This window comes from Homo sapiens, chromosome 5 (genome assembly GCF_000001405.40).
Source record: "Homo sapiens chromosome 5, GRCh38.p14 Primary Assembly".
Lineage (NCBI taxonomy): Eukaryota > Metazoa > Chordata > Mammalia > Primates > Hominidae > Homo > Homo sapiens.
The window spans coordinates 2,297,301-2,316,403 of NC_000005.10; the positions used below are offsets into that span (position 1 = coordinate 2,297,301).

The following is a 19,103-nucleotide window of genomic DNA, read 5'->3' on the forward strand; positions in this document are numbered from 1 at the left end:
ACTGTTTCTTGCTCTGTCGGCCATTGCACCTGCTCATCTCTGAGCTGCCTCTTCCTCTGTGTAGTGGATTTTCTATTTGGACTTGCTACATGTACTCTTTTTCCAAATCTCTTGCTTGTCTATTGACATTTTATTGCATTTTCACCATATGAAGTGATTTTTACGTGTTTGAGGTCAAAGGCATCTCCTTTACAGCCCCAGAGCTTCCCATCAGCCAGCAGTCCTTCGCGTATGTGTGGACTCCCAGGAGTGTCTGCAGTGAGCTTATTATTTTATCTTTCTCCAGGAAGTCTTTTATCCATCTGCATTTTACTCCTATTGCTGATGGAAGGTAGGAGTGTGATTTTCTTTCCTTCTAAATGAGAGTGGTGCAGCCACGTTGACGGAACAGGAGGCCCCTGCACTGACACCGTCAGAACCATCTTCACTCTGTAATCAGTGGATCACACACCTCCTGGCTTCTAGGGCCTGCATTTTCCAGTGGCCCATTCCCTGGCCAGTACCACACTGATTTTAGTGCAGTGGCTGGATGGAATCTTCTGGCATCTGTGGCAAGGCCTGCACCATTCTTCTTGTGGCCCTTTTCAGGTGATCGTGGACAGTTTTCAGTCACCCTGCTCCTCTCAGCCTTGCCCCAGGTCCCTCCCCTGAGGTGATGGGTCTGATGCTCCCCCTCCCAGACCACACGGTATTGCGGTTACCGCCACTCTCACGGTCGACACCCGTGTCCCCACAGTGGTCTGCAGGGCTTCCCATGACCCCCCTCACAGCGAGCCCCCTCCCTGAGTCGTCCCATCCACACCAGCCTCTGGGCCTGGAGCACAGTCCATGTGTGTGCACAACCAACACCTCCATTACCTTCCCATGTCTTCTGCATCACAGAAGCCCACCTGGCTGCGTCTGGCAAACTGCACTGCCTGCACCCGCCCAGCCAGCCTGCTGCTGTCTTCCTCACAAGTGTGGCACACGGGTGGGAGCAGGGAGCAAGGGAGCAGCAGGAGCTCTGGGGTGCTTGCAGGGCCTGGTCTGAGGAGCAGGAGCTCTGGGGAGCGTGCAGGGCACGATCTGAGGGCCTCTCCCCCTTGCGTGCCTTCTCCACTTCCTGTCTTGTCTTTCCCCAGCTCCATCCTAACAGTTACCCTCTAAGGTTACTTTTAGTTCTGATGCGACGGGGGTACAGGAGAGATGGGGGACACCTTCTACACGGGCTCAACTGTGGCCCCAAAGAGATGTGTCCACATCTTCACCTCCAGAGGCTGAGAATGTGACCTTATTTGGAAAAAGATCCTCAAAATTAAGTTAAAGATGTGCAGATGAGATCATCCAAATTTAGGATGGGTCATAAATCCAGCAGCAACTGTCCTTGGGGAGACACACGGGGAGGAGGCTGCGTGAGGATGGAGGTGGGGGTTGGAGGGATGTGACGCCACACCTAAGAGCACTAGGGCCCCAGAGGGTGGACAAGGCAGGAAGACTCCTCTTCTAGAGCCTGCAGAGTCTGAAAACCCTGGACCACACAGCAATAACAAGACTGCCCAAGATGGGCATATCCTACCACCAGAGTCCTCACTGTGGGGCAAAGCCAACCAGGGTCTGTTTCTTGGAGGGCATCCAGGCAGCAACGCAGAGCACTAGAGGCTGATCTGTGGGAGGGAATGAGGGAAACAAAAGATCACCATGTCTACAGCCAGGGGAACAATAGGCACTGGGCCAGGAAGCCAGTACATCCTTCCAACACTCCAGAAAGGGCCATCCTGAGGGCCGAGCTGCATAGAGGATGGAGGCAGGAAACCAAGAGGGCAGACAGGAGCCAAGCTACTGCCCTGACACAGACAAACCAAGCAAATAGGACAGGGTGGGCTGGCTGGACCCACGTCTGGAGGGGCTTCAGATCCATTTCTGCAACTAGTGCCTGGAAACCCAGGCCACACAGACATCCCTGACCAGACAAACACACGCAATCAACACACACAGGCCTGGCCTGTGCACACACACCCACACATTTGCAAAGACGTGGAAATGTACTTGTCTATAATGAGGAAGGACACTTGCTTTCAAGTGAGTTCCAATGCACATTCTGCAATGTGCAAAGTGAAAATCAGCTCTGGGAAACCCAAATGCTTGGATATCCACAACTGTTGTGGGGATTTATGCTTCCTGTTCCAGAAAGCACTCATGTTTCCTAACAGATAAGATGCAGAAAACGCACGTGTGGACGCATGGGCCTCGCTCGCTGCCTGCCGCCGTCCCTGCCTTTGCATGACACTGCCTGCCTGTTGTAGACCCGCCCGGGCCCTGCAGTCACTCCTCACACCTGCCCAGCACAGACCTTGATTCCGCTCAGTCGCCTTTGGGGACTCACGCTTCAAGCGCAACCAAGCAGAATGTCAACACACACACAGTGTACTTTCGGCAGCATCACCATTTTAGTCAGGTTTATCACATTTTTTAATGATAAAAAAATTTGATTCATTGCAAAAAATAAATTCATTGGCTTAAATCCCAGGGACCTGTGTTTCTTCCTTAGGTTTAACTTTTCTCCAGCAGGTGGCTTGACCCTGGGACACACACCGCTGGCTTCAGGGACTGCAGATTTGGAGGCAGATGCCAGCATGTTGTCCAGGCTGAGGCTTGAGGCTGCCACAATGCTGGCTGGGCTGGGGTCTCCTTTCCTCTTCCACTCCAGCAGTGCGGGGAGCTGGCTGAGCCCCAGCAGCATCGCCACGGGCTGGGGGTGATGTGAGCACAGGCTGGTGTGAAGGTGGCTGCCAAAGCCTGGTCTCAGTTCCATGCCCTCCTCATGAGATGGGCATGGAGGGCTTCCAAGTGCCCTGGACAGGTTTCATCCCGGGGTTGGGGAGTGACCTCCCACAAGTCTGGCCCCCTGTGCACCATACTCCACAAAACAGGGCACAAGTGCTTCCTCCAGCGCTGCCCTGAGCCTCAGTTCCATGCCATCGCCTCTTCTGCCAGGGGTTGCTTGCAGCTCTTCTAAGGCATGGAAGGAAGACAAGGTCTGTCCAGGTGAGGTAAGGAACCCCTTGCTGTCTGGTCTATGTTCTTGTTTCAGTTTCTAAACAACCCCAAAAGGCAGGCATGCGAGTTCTAGCTTATAAATAAGGAAACTGAGGCAGATACCATGCTTCCGCTGAATGGATAAAGGTGCTCGGGAGTCTGTGTCTCATCAGCAGGCGTGATTTTGTGTGGGGAACTCTGCAGACCCGCAACACTGACTGGTTGAGCAGACGTGGAGCCCCATTCCACCCTGGCAGCTGCCTGGCCTGTGTGGTGCGCCTGTTCCCTGACAACAGCTGCCCTCCCATGCGGCCGTGTCCTGCCCACCCTGCTCAGGACCAGCGGGGAGGGTGTTAGGCTTAGGTTCTGGCCACGTCAAATGTCCTGAGCAAGAGTCTGTCACTGGTGATCTTCCTGCTCTCAGATCTAACTTCATGCAGGGAACTTGGCTCTGAGGGCCAGGGCGCTGGGGTGGTTTTGGGCAAACTCACCTGGTATCTCTGTGCTCTGGTTTCATCCCCTGTGGATGAGGGGAGGGGGGTGACTTCCTGATACAGCTGTCTGGGATGTGGCCAGGGCCCAGTGCCCGGCGGCATCTGAACAACAGCCCTGGAGGTTGAGGTCCGTCATTCGCCATGCGTCTCAGAAGGCAGCTCCACACGGGGGAAGAGAAGATGCCACCACGGGAGTTCACTCCTGGAGGAGTCACGTGAGTCATGTGATGGGTCTTGGAGAAATAAATGCAGCTCCAGTGTTGCCCCTGGGCCCACTGCAGAGGTTCGCCGGCTGCCAAGCACGTGCCCGCCATCCAGAGGGGAAGGTGGAGTCCCTGTGGGCCCCACCTCCTGGCTGGATGTTGGGCCTGGTGCATGGTCTGGCTGTGGCTGCCCTGCATGGAAGGTGCTCCCCAAGTGTCTGCAGGACACAGCACTGATGTAGGAACTTGCTGCAGAGAGCAGAGGGCCAGGCTGCTGTGAATCCCTGGGGACTGAGAGATGGGAATGACACGTACCCAGGCAGGCCGTGGGGGCATGGTGTGTCTGCAGGTTTCTCCCTGAATCTCTGGGACCTGCAAGAGGACAGGCACAGCCGTCAGCGGCTCAGCCCGACCCGCAAGAGGACAGGCATGGCTGTCAGCGGCTCAGCCCACCGTGGCTCTCTGGGCAGCTCATCAAGGCAATCCTGCTTGGGCCGACATGATTTTATAGAGGAGAAACTAAAATGGGGTAAGTACTTTACCCAGGGTGGGCCAGCTTCCGTGGAAAAGCTCATATTTTAGACGATTTTGTGGAATGCCGCAAAGTCTGTGTTTGTTACCCTGGGTCCCCAGACTTTCCCATCTCCTTCGCTCTTCTCTTCCCTTAGATTCTCCCATCTCTGTCTCCTGTCTGTCTCCCTCCTTTCCCTGTCTCTTCCTCTCTCCTTCTCTCACTCCCCTTCTCTGTCTGTCTGTCTCTGTCTGTCTGCTTTCTGTCTCTCTCTCACACTCGCTCCCCTTCTCTCTGCCTCCGTCCCTCTGCCTCTCTCTCAGGCTTTTCTGTCACTCCTCCCCTCCCCCCAGCAGTGGAAGGGCCTCTAGGACTTTCTTCTGGAAGTTTCCCTGCACGTGGGGAACTCCCCTGCTCCTAAGCAGGGGCCCCTTCATGCTCATCTCCCATGTTCCCTCTGGGGGCCTGTGCTTGCTCACCCCTGCCTCCACTCCTGTCCTCATTCCCCTCTCTCCCTTAGCTATGAGGAACAGGGGATCCGAGGCTTGCTGTTAGATAAACCCGTCTCGTGACTAAACTTCCCGTGTCTAGCTGGTGAACAGTCTTCATTCCTCATTGAAAAGGAGGTAAAACAATGGATTAGCATGTCAGCTGAGTTGTTTACAATTGCGTGTGGACTTTGTTGGCCTTCCTGTCTTTAAGTGGCCTGCATGGAGATGGAGTCCCCAGGCACCTTTACAGAGAGCGCCTGGTGTCGGAAGCCAAACAGGAGAGTCGGGACCTGCCCACTGCTTCGTTCGGCCTTGAAGCCCTGCAGATGCCAGAAGAAAACACACACTGGTGTGTTTCACTCACTCATCTTGGAGGCCTCCAGAACCGACCTGAATCACGCACAACACGGTGAATCCAAGCTGAAGCGGGCAGCTCCCCGCTACCCCCAGAGCACACGAGACTGGCTCCGCTGCCGGGTCTGGCCTGACACACCTGCCGAGCCGGCCTCTTGCTGCCTTTTTTAATTTTGGAAGCCCAGGTGGATTCCCACATCCCCACATTTACATTTTCTTCTAAAAATGGACCGCCGTAATTATATGTTAAATATGATTCAAATCTGCAGGGAACTGTGACTCAATAAGCATGGAAAAATTAATGAAAAGCTTAATTATTATAATAATACCATTAAAATCTAATAAAGGAAGAAAAAACTGGAGTTCATTTTATTTTAGCTTGGGCATCTAATATCATTTTTCCCCCTTTAGCAGAACTATAATTAAATTAGACTTGGGTTTTCAGAAAAGCTGAATTATCTGCATTGGTGCTTAAAAATATTAGGGAGCAAGAGAGAGGAGCCTGGGAGACAGCGTGAGATGGCCCATGCGCAATGCTCTCCCGTGGCATCCATCCTGAGGGCTGCCACTCTCAGTCAGTCCACCTTTCCCACCGCTTTTAATGATTGGTTCATCTCCAGCAGCTCTGATTCCTTCTTCGGCCTTTCACGTACAAAGTATCCAGGTATTTAAGGCTCAGGGTATTAATTCAATTAACAATAATGTAAGAGCAGGCAGATGCTCCCCAGCAAAGAAAGTCTCCTCTTTTCACTCTTGGCCTCATATGAACTCACAAGAGACCCCACTGTAAGCTCCACCACCAACATTAGCTACTTGATTTTCAAATGAAAGGAATATGTTTTTATTCATCAAATGGTTTTGATGAAAACTAAACAGGATCCTTCCCTCACAGCTTGGATGCCAGGCACGGAGGTAGGAGTGCCAATCTTTGCCACAGGATGAACTTAGTAGGAGACTGTGTTTTGTTAATAGATAATAATTGCCTTCTACTGCTAATTTATCTTGAAGAGCATGTGTGTTCCCCTCTGCGTCCCCCTCTCCGTGTGTGGGTGTAAGAGGGATGCGTGGGGGCAGGGGCTTTGCTGACCAGCCCTCAAGTTCTGCGGTTCATTCACTGCTTCGCCCCCCTCCCCCAGAGGACGCCCCCTAGTCACCCCTTCCAGAGCTCCCATGGGTTTCCCTGTGTCTTTTTCAGTCTGGTTTCAATGCTTTTTGCAGGCACAGCCGCGGCTTCTCAAATTTCAGAGCTTTTAACCCAAAGAAATAAGAGGCCAAGCATCCGCTGCTGAAGCCGTCCTTGAGTGCCCTGCATGCATCATCCTTAAAGCCTCAAAATAATTTGAGAGTCTCATGTGGTCCAAAGCAAACACAGTCAGGATTTTCTCTATTTATCTTAATTTCTCCACCAGCTCTCAGATCTGATGGTCATTAACATGCACATTTAGGATAATCTGGAGGGCATTTCAGACTGCAGACAGGCTGGCCCCAGGTTTTGCCTGGGAGGGCGGTCTGAGGCCAGCAGGAATACTGTACCGGGGCTCAGGCCGTCACCCGCAGCCAGCATGGAGAACGCTGTCCTGACACAAGTCACTGCATCTTCTCATGGGCATGTTAAAAAAAGAAAAAGGAAAAGAAAGAAATGGAATTAACATGTTTTCCCATTAAGAAGTTATGAACTGCTGTAGTTCCGACAGTGTTTGCTTTATACAGTTTTATTACCCATTCCATATTTCTTGAATTGTATCTTGAAATCTCAGCATCAACTCTCTATTACAATCTAGCTTTAAAAATAAACACCCACTTGTAGATATGTATCCATATGAATCTGTGCCTGTGTACGTTCATTCTTAATAATTGATTTTTGACATATCACATCAGTTATTTGGGGAAAACGTCATGTGGAAATCAAAGTGCATTTGGTCTCTGGCAAGGGGTTTGGGAAAGCACTACATGACGACTTTGCGAAGCCTCTTTCCCCTGCATTTCAGAAGTCATGAGCTGTTAAGGGAAATGTGGACCGTGTGTTTGGAATTCATTGACACAGAAGTCATCGGCATACTTGGTAAGAGATATCTGATGCCCAGAAAGCCTTCTCAACTAGTTTCCATATCTTTAGCTTTTGAAAAAAGAGGTAATAACTGAAAACAAAATAATACAGAAACCTCAGAGGATTAAAATAGAGTGGAGACAGCAGACATGCACAATGACCAAAAATGTTTAACTCGGTAGAAGGTAGTTCACCAACCCAAAGCAAATTCCTGGCAGCTCCTATCACTGGTTTATGTAACATGGTGAAAACTGTTAAATGTCTTTCAGAGGAAGACTCATGTAGGTGATTACAGGCAGGAACACAAAAGACATGTTGCATGTTCTTTTTCTTTTGAAGCAGGTAATGTTGTGCAACAAGCAGCATAATATCAAAGTTCTGAGCTTCTTTTTTTGAACTACCCCCTTTGTCTTTTCTCTTAGATTATAGGCCAGAGAAACCCCAAAACGTGAAAATGTGGCCTTCATTCGAGTTCAACTGTGGCCTCTGCTCATGCTTGGAACGTGACCAAAGAGATGGTTTTCTATTTTTAGTTTGAGAAGTCCTTTACATTTTCTCTTTTTAGTATAGACACAGTCAAAGATTTCATTCATCATTTATATTCTAATGTTTGGCTTGTGTCAGCCATTCTGTAAGGTACAAGTTGACCAACCTTCTCTTGGTGAACAGGTGAAATTTGGGTGGTCCACGGTAGGCCCAGTGGATTGGTCCATTGATAAACTCAGTAAGTGGTCTTTGGTCTTTACGTCTCTTTGTGATGGAAACCCATCGTCAGTGATGCCAACACTACCTGCGTTAGTGTTTACTTGGCCCCCCCGCCAGCTCTTCCTAGGGAGTAACAGGCTTTGGAGCAGCTCTTTCCAGAGCTGTGGCTCTACTTGGCTATTTCCATGGTCAGAGAAGGCAGAGGGGTGGAGACAGAGGGTCGGGTAGCAAGGAGAGGACTGGAGACCAGGACCCAGCAATCTCTGAAGGCTTCCCGGGGCTGCTCACCAGGTTGTGAGAGTCAGGCGGGGTTTCAGTGGAAGCCCCATCTTGAGATCTGCTCTTCTGTCCCAGAATTTGGGGGAAAGAATTGTGTATTTGGCCAGGCATGGTGGCTCATGCCTGTAATACCTGCAATTTGGGAGGCCGAGGCAGGTGGATCATCTGAGGTCAGTAGCTCGAGACTAGCTTGGTACATGGCAAAACCCCGTCTCTACTAAAAATACAAAAAATCAAAAAATTAGCCAGGCGTGGTGATGGGAGCCTGAAATCCCAGCTACTTGGGAGGTTGAGGCAGGAGAATTGCTTGAACCTGGGAGGTGGAGGTCGCAGTGAGCTGAGATCATGCCATTGCACTCCAGCCTGGGCGACAGAGTGAGACTCTGTCTCAAAAAAAAAAAAAAAAAAAAAAGTAAGAAAAAGAATTGTGTATTTGTGCGTTTCTTTTCCTGCATGAATTTAAAAAAGTTAGAATAAAAATTAAATCTTTAAAAAGGTCAGAGATCCCCTCCCTGGCCTTTGAAAAGGCACCTCATCATATATGAAGGAAAGAGGCCTCACATCAGGATTGAAGAAATTCACTATCTCTAGAGCATCAGGAATGATCTAGAAACCAACCTCAGTCTCAGATCACTGTCTGCCAGGAGGAAAAGCCCAGCTGCTCAGCACCTCAGTGGCCAGTCCTGAACCAAACCCTTGTTGAGGGCTGCCCTCTGCTTACAGAAAGAAGTCCGCACTGTAGACTCCTCCTGCTAGCTCCTCCCAACACAACCTCATTTAAATCCAAGGGTACAGGAGCCCCATAGGACATCAAGATTAATTTATGACATAGCAGTCCCAGCCTCTCTTAACTGTTCTTCCAGCTCTGGGCCTGAGTTAATTTGTATTTTATTTTGTTTTTAAAATTTCTTCCTAAGCATACACACACACACACACACACACACACACACACTATATTTTACACATACATGTAAATGCATTTATACTTAACATTATCACATAAACATCTTCTATGTTATTACAAATATTCTTAAATGTCCTGGACCATGAGCTTCACTTCACTCCTGTCTAACCCTATTTTACTTAGTGTTTTCTGGCATTAAGAATGTGAGTCCTTTGGCATCTCCCAGCCCCCCTTCTTTGCCCAGCCACCCCAGTCCAGGGGCCCACATGCAGTAGGGAGCCCCAGGACCATTCTTTCCAGAAGTTCAGGGAGGCCCAGAGCTTGGGTTTAGCTCCAGGGTAGGACAGACCTTTCCCACCAGCCAGGCTGGATGGGGAACAATTGCCAACTCTATAGCACCAGCCAACCTACTTCATCTCTGCACGCTAGTTTTCATTTTACTTCTTAGGCCTTAACAAGAAATAGCCACTTATTTTAAATAAAGAAAATGTCTTCCACAAAATCAAGTTGTGTGTCTCGTCCCTGACGTTGGCAAACATAACTTAGGCTTGAAGCAGGAAACAGAGTTTATGGTGTGAATAGTTCTCAAGCATGCAGCGTCTGTGCATGCCCTGAATGTGCACCCATTTCCTCTGCCTCCTTCTCCTTCACCCATCAGGAACTGCAGCAAGCAAGCAGTCACATCACACCTCCCAACCACATGCAAAGAACCAAAAAAGCAGCTGCCAGAAAAGCTTCGGGAAATTTTCAAATTAGATCTTCAACTGCAGTAAGAGTCATATTTAAGTAAAAGCACATCAGCCCGGCTGAGCTCTGTGCCACCACTGCACCCCACACCCCTCCTGCTTTCTCCCCCAAACAATTTCCAGCTGACGTTTAGTGAACAGAAAATGTTTTATGAGCTTAAGAGAACACAGAGATAGTAATCTGCTGGGGCTGCCATAAAATGCCGTGAGTTGAGTGTCTTAAACAACGTAAGTTTATTTTCCCACAGTTCTGGAGACTGGGAAATCTGAGATGGAGACTGGTGGGTTTGAGTTCTGGTGAGGGCTCTCCTTCTGGCTTGCAGACAGCCGCCTTCTTGCTATGGCCTCACATGGTCTTTACCTCTCATTGAGGTGTTTGGACCACAATATTCTGGAAAACCTTTCCTCTGGCATTATGCTCTATACCTCTATCTTTTTAGGACCACACATGCCATTCAAAGAAAGGGCTGAAGCATGGAGTTCAGAAACAAGTGCTGGGCTGTGCAGACAGCCTGGGAATCCACAGGCCCACCCGGCTTCAGGGCTCTCAGGAGCAACTTCAGGGGCCTACACAATTCGTCTTCTGAGGTTGTCTCCAAACTCACAGGAAGCAAGAGGGTTTCTATTCCAGCTCCCCTCAGGTAGCAACAGGCAAGGCACGCAAAAGTGTGTGATGGGAGGCAGGCAGTTATTGCAGAAATGGGATAGGTCCCCATGACAGAAGGGAAGAAACCAACAGAGGATTCTTCCCGGGAGCCCCAGGTTCAGCAAGTCACACCTCTCCCATGGGGCAAGGCAAGGCAGATGGTCGTGGGCCTCCTGCAGCACAGACATCCTTCTGTCCACTCAGGAGTGGAGTCCAGGCCCTCAGGCAACTGAGGCTAGAGCACTGAATCAGGGGACTGAACAAGACCATGCCTGAGTTGCAGATACGGCCACCTGGCACCTTGCAAACACACGCAAGTGACAGGTCCCCTTGCAGAGCAGAGCACTCAACTGCTCTGCCCAGGACCCCTGGGAAACAGCTCCTCAGTCTGCCGGTGAGGTGGCCACCCACCATCTCAAACTCCACAAGGGAGCACTCTATTTGGGGGCAAACCACACATAATTAACCCAAATGGACCTGCCATGGTGGTCGTCCCCCCACCCCCACCCCGAGCTGGCAGTCCCCGTCAGCAGATCCCAATCTTTGTTTCAATAAGGGGCACCCATTTGGTTGGCTGTAAAACCCTGTGTGGGTTCTTTTGCAACAATGTTAAGATTGCACAGAAACCGGCGTTCTCCTGTCCTCTGAGTGCTGTCCTCACGCTGCTGTCCTCACCTGGGCCTGGGAATACCTGCACACATTGCTGAGTCATGTGTACAGGATAACGAGAGCTCCTCCCCTTTGTGCAGACACAAGGAAAGAGGCTGCACCCCATTCATTTGAACGCCTGGCACGTTCTTCATCAACTCCATGGAAATTCTTCTTTTTTTTTTGAGACGGAGTCTAGCTCTGTCGCCCAGGTTGGAGTGCAGTGGCACGATCTTGGCTCACTGCAAGCTCCGCCTCCCGGGTTCAGGCCATTCTCCTGCCTCAGCCTCTGGAGTAGCTGGGACTACAGGCGCCCACCACCACGCCCGGCTAATTTTTTGTATTTTTTCTTAGTAGAGATGGGGTTTCACCGTGTTAGCCAGGGTGGTCTCGATCTCTTGGCCTCGTGATCCACCCACCTCGGCCTCCCAAAGTGCTGGGATTACAGGCGTGAACCACCATGCCCGGCCTGGAAATTCTTAAGTGCTTAGAGTGAAATGCATTTTGTCAGAAGCCTATGAGGTTTTAAAACTCCGTATGTCTTTTTAATGACTAGCTGAATTCTCACCGATTCGTGAAGCCCGCAGAGTATGATGTACATGTTCTAACAACTACTAGGGCCAAGCATTTTGGAAAAAAAAAAAAAAAACATGGACAGCTTACTTTCACCAAATGTTAAAAGAAGGCATAAAATGAAATGACATTTATTTTACAATGGCGGAAGTCCTCAGGAAATGAAATGTGCTAATACATTTTAGCTCGTATGTATCCTTCTGATCACACCCATGTCCAAACAAGTGGTTTTCAAGCTTAAATGGGAAGAAACAATCTATGAATATTAAAGAAAATATGTATTCTTTGTACACTATTAAAGCAGGCTTAAAGGACAGATGAACCTCCAGCCGGGCTCAGTGGCTCACGCCTATAATCCAGCACTTTGGGAGGCTGAGGCAGACGGATCACCCGAGGCCAGGAGTTTGAGACCAGCCTGACCAACATGGTGAAACCCAGTCTCTACTAAAAATACAAAAATTAGCTGGGCGTGGTGGCTCATGCCTGTAATCCCAGCTACTTGGGAGGCTGAGGCAGGAGAATCATTTGAACCCGAGAGGTGAAGGTTGCAGTGAGTCGAGATCGTGCCATTGCACTCCAGCCTGGGTGACAGAGCGAGACTCTGTCTTGAAAAAAAACAAACAAAAAAGACTGACGAACCTCCGCAGTGATTCTGGTCACTCCAGGAGCATGTTGTCCATTTGCCAGTGGAGAGGGCCTTGCCAGGGTGGAGCAACCATATTGGAGTCACGCTGGAACCCCACAGCCCCTAACACGGCCCCTAACAGGAGGCTTCTGAATGCCACAGTCCTCCCTCTCAGTGCAGTGTAGAGGCCACCAAATTCAGATCCTGGGGGTGTCGGGGAAGGCAGTCTTCAATGCAGATTCCTGGGCCCCATTCCAGAGCTACTGAATCAGAATTTTGGGATGGGGGTGAGCTTAGGACATTTATTTTTAACAAGCTATGAAGATGAGACCGACACGCTGTAAATTTGGAGAGTTACCAATGCACACCACGGGACTGGCTCATGCAAGATTTTCCATCTCTTCGGAATGCACAGAGTGTGTCTTGTTGGAGAGAGAATCGGAAGAGACTAAAAAAGGTTTCCCCAAACTGAATGTGCTCTCACATGACTGGAGCTCCGTGTCTTTGCGTGTGGGACCGTTTCAGTTAGAGGAGGTTTATGCCTTTGCGGTGATGTTTTCCCACTGTAATACAACGTCCCAGTGTCTACGACACATGCTGCCTTTCTGAGGTCCACAGTGTGAACCTGAAGGAGCTGGTCCTCAAGACCGGCTTAAATTCAAGGTGGAGGCACCTGGCGGTCTGCTGACTGCAGGTCACATGTGTATTCTGCTTTCCTGGCAGAAAACACACATTTGTGTCATCTTGGGACCCTCAGGGTTGCCTGTTCCTGTTCACGGTGCCTGAATTGATGGCTGATGGGAAGTCCCACTTCTCCTTCTGGACCTACACAACAGACCTTGGCCTACGTCAGTCTTATCAACCATTGCAAATAAAACAAGCCTCCATCCCCTATTTACATAGTGGACCAGGATGCTTGGTCTATGTCAATCTTATCAACCAATGCAAACCAAACAAGCCTGCATCCCTTATTTACGCAGTGGACCAGGATGGGAGACTAGGAGGAAAACTTTTCTATAAAAGACAGCCCCTCTCTTGGTTGTCATGGAGCGCACCTTTGTTTTGTACCAAGGACTGTGTCTCCCCGGCTTGCAAACTACTCTACTATTTGTAGAAACAAAGTCTCTCACTTAACCTAATACTTTTTTCTTGGTACTTTGGTTAGCAATGGGGATTGTAGCTATCTTGTACTTTGGTTAGCAATGGGGATTGTAGCTAAAGTGCCACTTTCATCACTACGACGCTGATTGTCTTCAGTTGCCCAAGGATTAAAATGTAACCATGATGAATTTCGAGTCAGGAAACACGTCACAGTGGGATTCTATTTCCCTGGATTCCCTTAAAGACACGGACACATACTCACTCAGGGCACTGATGAGGCTACTAAAAGGAATAAAAGACGGTATCACTATGGGGCCCTTGAGGAAACAGTTCTGCGAATCCTCCACGCCTCATTCTGTCACGGGAGAGAGTCTCTGCACTTCTATTTTCAGCAGGCCAACATTTCTCTGTGTTGCTTGTGATGATCTTATGAGGGGCCTGGAGAAATATGTACACATAGATTTTAGCATGAGTCTTGCAGCACTGCGCTTAGCAGAGTGTCTTCTCTTACAGAGCATCCCTGCGCTTGGAGTTGGGGCGTGGAGGACTGTCCACTTCACCTGACCCCGGAATGTGGCCCAGAGCTACTGACAAGGGCCGTCCTTTGTGAAACAGAGGACTATATTGTGCTCATCTCCAGCTACGTGTGTGCGTGTCTTTGTGTGTTTTCTGTGAGTGTGTGTGACTGTGTTTTCTGTGTATTTCCTCTGTGTGTGCTTCCTGTCTGTGTGTTTTCTCTCTGTATGTTTTTTGTGCATATGTGTGAGTGTGTTTTCTGTGTGTGTGTTTTCCTCTGTGTGTGTGTGTGTGTGTGTGTGTGTGCGTGTCCCCAACCTCACCAAGCATAGCTCAGGGACCTCTGTGTGTTTTCTCTCTGTATGTTTTTTGTGCATATGTGTGAGTGTGTTTTCTGTGTGTGTGTTTTCCTCTCTCTCTCTCTCTCTCTGTGTGTGTGTGTGTGTGTGTGAGTGTCTCCAACCTCACCAAGCATAGCTCAGGAACCTCAGTTGTCCCTTGAAAACACCGTGCTGCCAGGTACTAGACACAAATGTGACTTTAAACGTGACCTTTACGCTCAAGCATCTTGTAGTCTAGATGAGGAAGAGAGAGGAATGGAACACCACATCCTCTTCAGAGCCAGGTGCTATGGGAAAGTTCCTGGCTGTCTTTGCAGACCACACACCAAGACAGCTATTGTGATCACCACTTTATAGTGACCAGAATGTGTTCAGCAAGGCAGCCTGCCCACAGCCTGGAGAACTTACAATTTTTTCCAGGCGTGATCAAAAGCAACCAAACAAACAAATGTTTTCACTCCATAAACTGATATGTGCCAGGGAGACTTGTCCTGCTGTTTATGGAATGTGGGGGCACTTAGAGTGGGGGTGAAGGCTTGGCTCAGAGGAACCAGCAGCTGTGTTATCAGAGACAAAGGGAAGTGACAACACAGTAATTTACAATGATCCCTGCCCAAATTATCTCAGCACTCCGACTAAGAGCAGTGTTCCTGGGCAAGGAGAACACACAATTTCTCACCTGCTGAAGAATGTGGAAGCCACAGGCAGTGTGGCTGGAAGTTCCCATCGTCCCTCCATGAGTGACTTCATAAAGCTTCCATCAGGCACCTGGGCCTGGCTGCCCTCCTGCTCGGATTATTCTAAATATAAACAAACGACCCCCAAGGCCCGTGCTAACTCAATCACACTTTTACATGTCTCAGGCCAGTCTGCTGTTTAGATTTCCTGGCAATATCCTTGCAAGTCTTCTGTATTCCTTTTTGGATGTATCTTCATTTACTGTTACAATTTTTCTGCCTTCCTTTTGCCTCCTTCCAGGTGAACAAGACAATAATCTAAGAAGACATTCATATAAAAATTAATGGAACCAACTGCAGGAACTGCCAAATGTTATGTTGCTCACAGAAGTTTTGACTTTGAAAGATAAGCAGCTTCTATTTATTCCATGCTCCAATTAGGGCAAACACAAAACATTTTCTATCTGCTAAGATATATGTATTATATATGTACATATATATGAAATAAAAGTATAAATAACTGACTTAATTCTACATTCTTTCAAAATGAGGAAACAGGTCTAGCTTCTACAATTGTTCTTTGTTTTTTCCATTATTTAAGCAATTTCAAGAACTTAGAAGTTTCCCCTGCTTTGTAGGAAATAATAAAGTAAGATCCCACGTACTCCAGTTTCCCTCACTGGTAACATCTTTTTTTTTTTTTTTTTTTTTTTTTTTTTTTTTGAGACGGAGTCTCACTGTCACCCAGGCTGGAGTGCGGTGGCGCAGTCTCGGCTCACTGCAAGCTCCGCCTCCCGGGTTCACGCCATTCTCCTGCCTCAGCCTCCCGAGTAGCTGGGACTACAGGCGCCCGCCACCACGCCCGGCTAATTTTTTGTATTTTTAGTAGAGATGGGATTTCACCGTGTTAGCCAGGATGGTCTCGATCTCCCGACCTCGTGATCCGCCCGCCTCGGCCTCCCAAAGCGCTGGGATTACAGGCGTGAGCCACCGCGCCCGGCCCACTGGTAACATCTTGCAACACTGTAGTACAATGTAACAGACAGGAACCTGACACTGACACAATCCAGGCTCAGAACTTTCCATGTACAAGAATCTCCCTGTCGCTGTTTGATGTCCACACCCGCTTCTTCCCACCCACCCTCCTCCTGAGCCTCTGGCAACCACCAATCTGTTCTCAATTTCTAAAATTTGATACATAAATGTAATCACACAGCATGTAACTTTGTGAAATCGTTTTTTTTCCCTCAACATAATTCTTGGGAGGCTCACTGATGTGGCTGCATGGATCTATAGTTCATTCCTTTTTATTGCTGAGTAGTATTCCGTGATGTAGACAGACCCGTTTGCTTAACTGTTCACCCATTGAAGGACATCTGGTTTGTTTCTAGTTTTTGGCTGTTATGCTAAAGCTTCTATGAATAGACATTTTTATTTTTTGGGATAATGACCCAGGCATGCAGTGCAATTGCTGGGTCAAATGGTAGTTGCATGTGTGAAAGCTGTCAGAGTCAAAATGGAGTCACTTTTGTTCAAACAAATAAGCCCTGACAAATAGAGCCAGAAAAGGCCTTGGAGGGAAGATTCTCATGAATAAATGACTGACAGCAAGAACTATCATAAAAAATGGCAAAAAACAGAACCTTGCACAAAGGCCATTGCAACCCCTGCACACACACACACACACACACACACACACACACACGATATTCCTGTAAGAACACCCCCATGCCTCTCCAACCTGGGACTGGAGTCCGTCTTGTTTTTGACACCTGTAGCCAAGGGTAATTATCTCAAGACAATTATGTCATCTTCCTCAATTTCCCTTTAAAAACTTTTGTCTTCTTTGACCTCCCTGAATACACACATTGTTTGCTATGGCATATGTCTCCCACTGCTACGTCCTATTCCTGAATAATATCATTTTTCTTTAAAGAGCCTCTCTGTTGTTATTTAGGTTGACACGTTTCCCTAACAAACTACAAAACTGTGCTGGGCGCGGTGGCTCATGCCTGTAATCCCAGCACTTTGGGAGGCTGAGACGGGCGGATCACGAGGTCAGGAGATCGAGACTATCCTGGCTAACACGGTGAAACCCAGTCTCTACTAAAAATACAAAAAATTAGCCAGGCGTGGTGGCGGGCGCCTGTGGTCCCGGCTACTTGGGAGGCTGAGGCAGGAGAATGGTGTGAACCCGGGAGGCGAAGCTTGCAGTGAGCCGAGATAGCACCACTGCACTCCAGCCTGGGTGACTGAGCAAGACTCCATCTCAAATAAATAAATCAATAAATAAATATAAAAAAATAAACTACAAAACTGTCTTCAGAATGATTGTACCATTTTTACATTCTCACTGGCTATTTGGGAGAGTTTTAGCTTTTCCACGTCCTTGAAACATTTGGTGGTGTCACTGTTTTTTTTTTTTTTTAATTTTAGCAATTCTGAAGGCTGTGTAATGATGTCTCATTTTCGTTCAATTTGCATTTCCCTAATTGCTAATAATATTGATAATATTTTTATGTGCTTTTTTGCCATCTGTATATTGTCTTTGATGAAATGTTTGTTCCTGTCTTTTTCTCATTTTCTACTTGATTGTAAAAAATACTTTGAAAGTTCTTTATATAATCTAGCTATTAGCCTGAGATGGCCACGTTGTTTCCAAATATTTTCTCCTAGTGTGTAGCTTGCAATTTTATATTTTAACATTTTTTCCCATACAGTGAAGGTTTTTAATTTTAATGAAGTCCTATTTATCAAGTTTTCTCTTCTGTGGATCATATTTGGTGTCATTGTCTAACCTGTATCATAGGACCATTGCCTAACCTGTATCTCAAAGGTTTTCTCCTATGCTTTTTTTCAAAGGTTGTATGATTTTACAGTTTATATTGAAGTCTATGATCTATTTTGAGTTATTTGTGTATAAATTGTAAGGTTTACTTCAGGGATTTTTTTTTTTCTTTTTCTGACCTGTGGATGCTCAATTGCACCCAGAACCCTTTGTTGAAAGATTCTCCTTTTTAATTGCTTTTGGAGTTTTGTCAAAAATAAGTTGGACATATTTGTGTGAGTCTATTTCTTGGTTCTCTGTTCTGTTCCCTTAATTTATGTGACCATTTATCCACCATTTATCACTCAGTCTTCATTACTGTGGCCATAAAATAAGTCTTGAAACCAGTTAGATTGTTTCTTCTCACTTTATTTTTCCATTTCATAATTTTTAACTCTATTCTTCTTTCTCATAATTTTTAACTCTTCTTGTTCTTTCTCATTTCTATACAATTTTTTTTGAGCAATATTGTCTATATCTGCAAAAAAACCTTGCTAGGATTATAACAGGTCTTGCATTAAACCATGTTAAACCATCCTTTTACTTTCAATCTGCCTTTATTGTTAAATTTGAAGTGAGTTTCTTGTGGGCAGTATATAGTTGAGTCATAGTTGTCTTTTTAATTATGTATGTATGTGTGTATGTATGTAGGTATTTACTTATTTGAGACAGGGTCTTACTCTGTCACCCAGGCTGGGGTGCAGTGGTGTGATCATGGCTCACTGCAGCCTCAGCCTCTTTGGGCTCAGGTAATCCTCAGCCTCCCGAATAGCTGGGACCACAGGTGTGTGCCACGACCCATAGCTAATTTTTGTATTTTTTTGTAGAGACTGGGTTTGTCATGTTTTCCCTACTGGTTCCAAGCTCCTGGGCTCAAAAAACTCACATGCCTCAGCCTCCCAAAGTTCTGGGCTTACAGGCATGAGCCACAGCACCTGGACATAGTTGTCTTTTTAAAAAAATCCACTAAATCAATCTCTGTCTTTTAAGTGATATTAGACCATTTATATTTAATGCATTTATTAATGTGTTGGAAATTAAAACTTTTTTTATGTGTTTTCTCTGTGTCCTCTGTTTTTCATTCCTGTTTCTTTATCCAATGAGTTACTTGAACTTTTTGTTTTTCAAATTTAGTTTTGTTATACCTATAATTTTTTAGAGTATTTCTTTATATAGCATTATAGGGGGTGCTCTAGGTATTATATTATATATTCAAAATGTTTCACAGACAACTTGTGACAATATTTTACCAGTCTGAGTGAGATATAGAGACCTTACTCTATATCTCCTTGTTTATAAATTTTTTTATAAACCATCCTTGTTTATAAATAATTTTACCCTCCTTGTTTATAAATAATTTTAAGTATTTCCATGCAAATATTTAGAAGTAAATCAAGTGC

At 47.1% G+C, this 19,103-nt stretch overlaps 1 long non-coding RNA gene across 1 annotated transcript, besides 2 other annotated features; it reads right to left on the reverse strand.

Moving 5' to 3' along the window:
* Nucleotides 1,485-1,654: an enhancer, noted in NCBI's record as "experimental_83975 CRE fragment used in MPRA reporter constructs". NCBI's record gives its function as "activates a minimal promoter by MPRAs in K562 erythroleukemia cells, with activity observed for both the introgressed and non-introgressed 5:2298984 variant alleles {active_cell/tissue: K562}" and the evidence as "EXISTENCE:reporter gene assay evidence [ECO:0000049][PMID:34662402]".
* Nucleotides 2,389-3,068: an enhancer, noted in NCBI's record as "H3K4me1 hESC enhancer chr5:2299803-2300482 (GRCh37/hg19 assembly coordinates)". NCBI's record gives its function as "activates a minimal SCP1, AML or CMV promoter by ChIP-STARR-seq in naive H9 embryonic stem cells {active_cell/tissue: H9 hESC(naive)}" and the evidence as "EXISTENCE:reporter gene assay evidence [ECO:0000049][PMID:30033119]".
* LOC100506858 (uncharacterized) lies at nt 6,420-14,901 on the reverse strand. Its single transcript, NR_104616.1, has 3 exons — nt 14,879-14,901; nt 13,605-13,780; nt 6,420-6,664 (listed from the first exon to the last, which is right to left on the reverse strand). It is a non-coding gene; the product is annotated as an uncharacterized LOC100506858 (long non-coding RNA).
* Nucleotides 14,902-19,103: the final 4,202 nt, after the last annotated feature.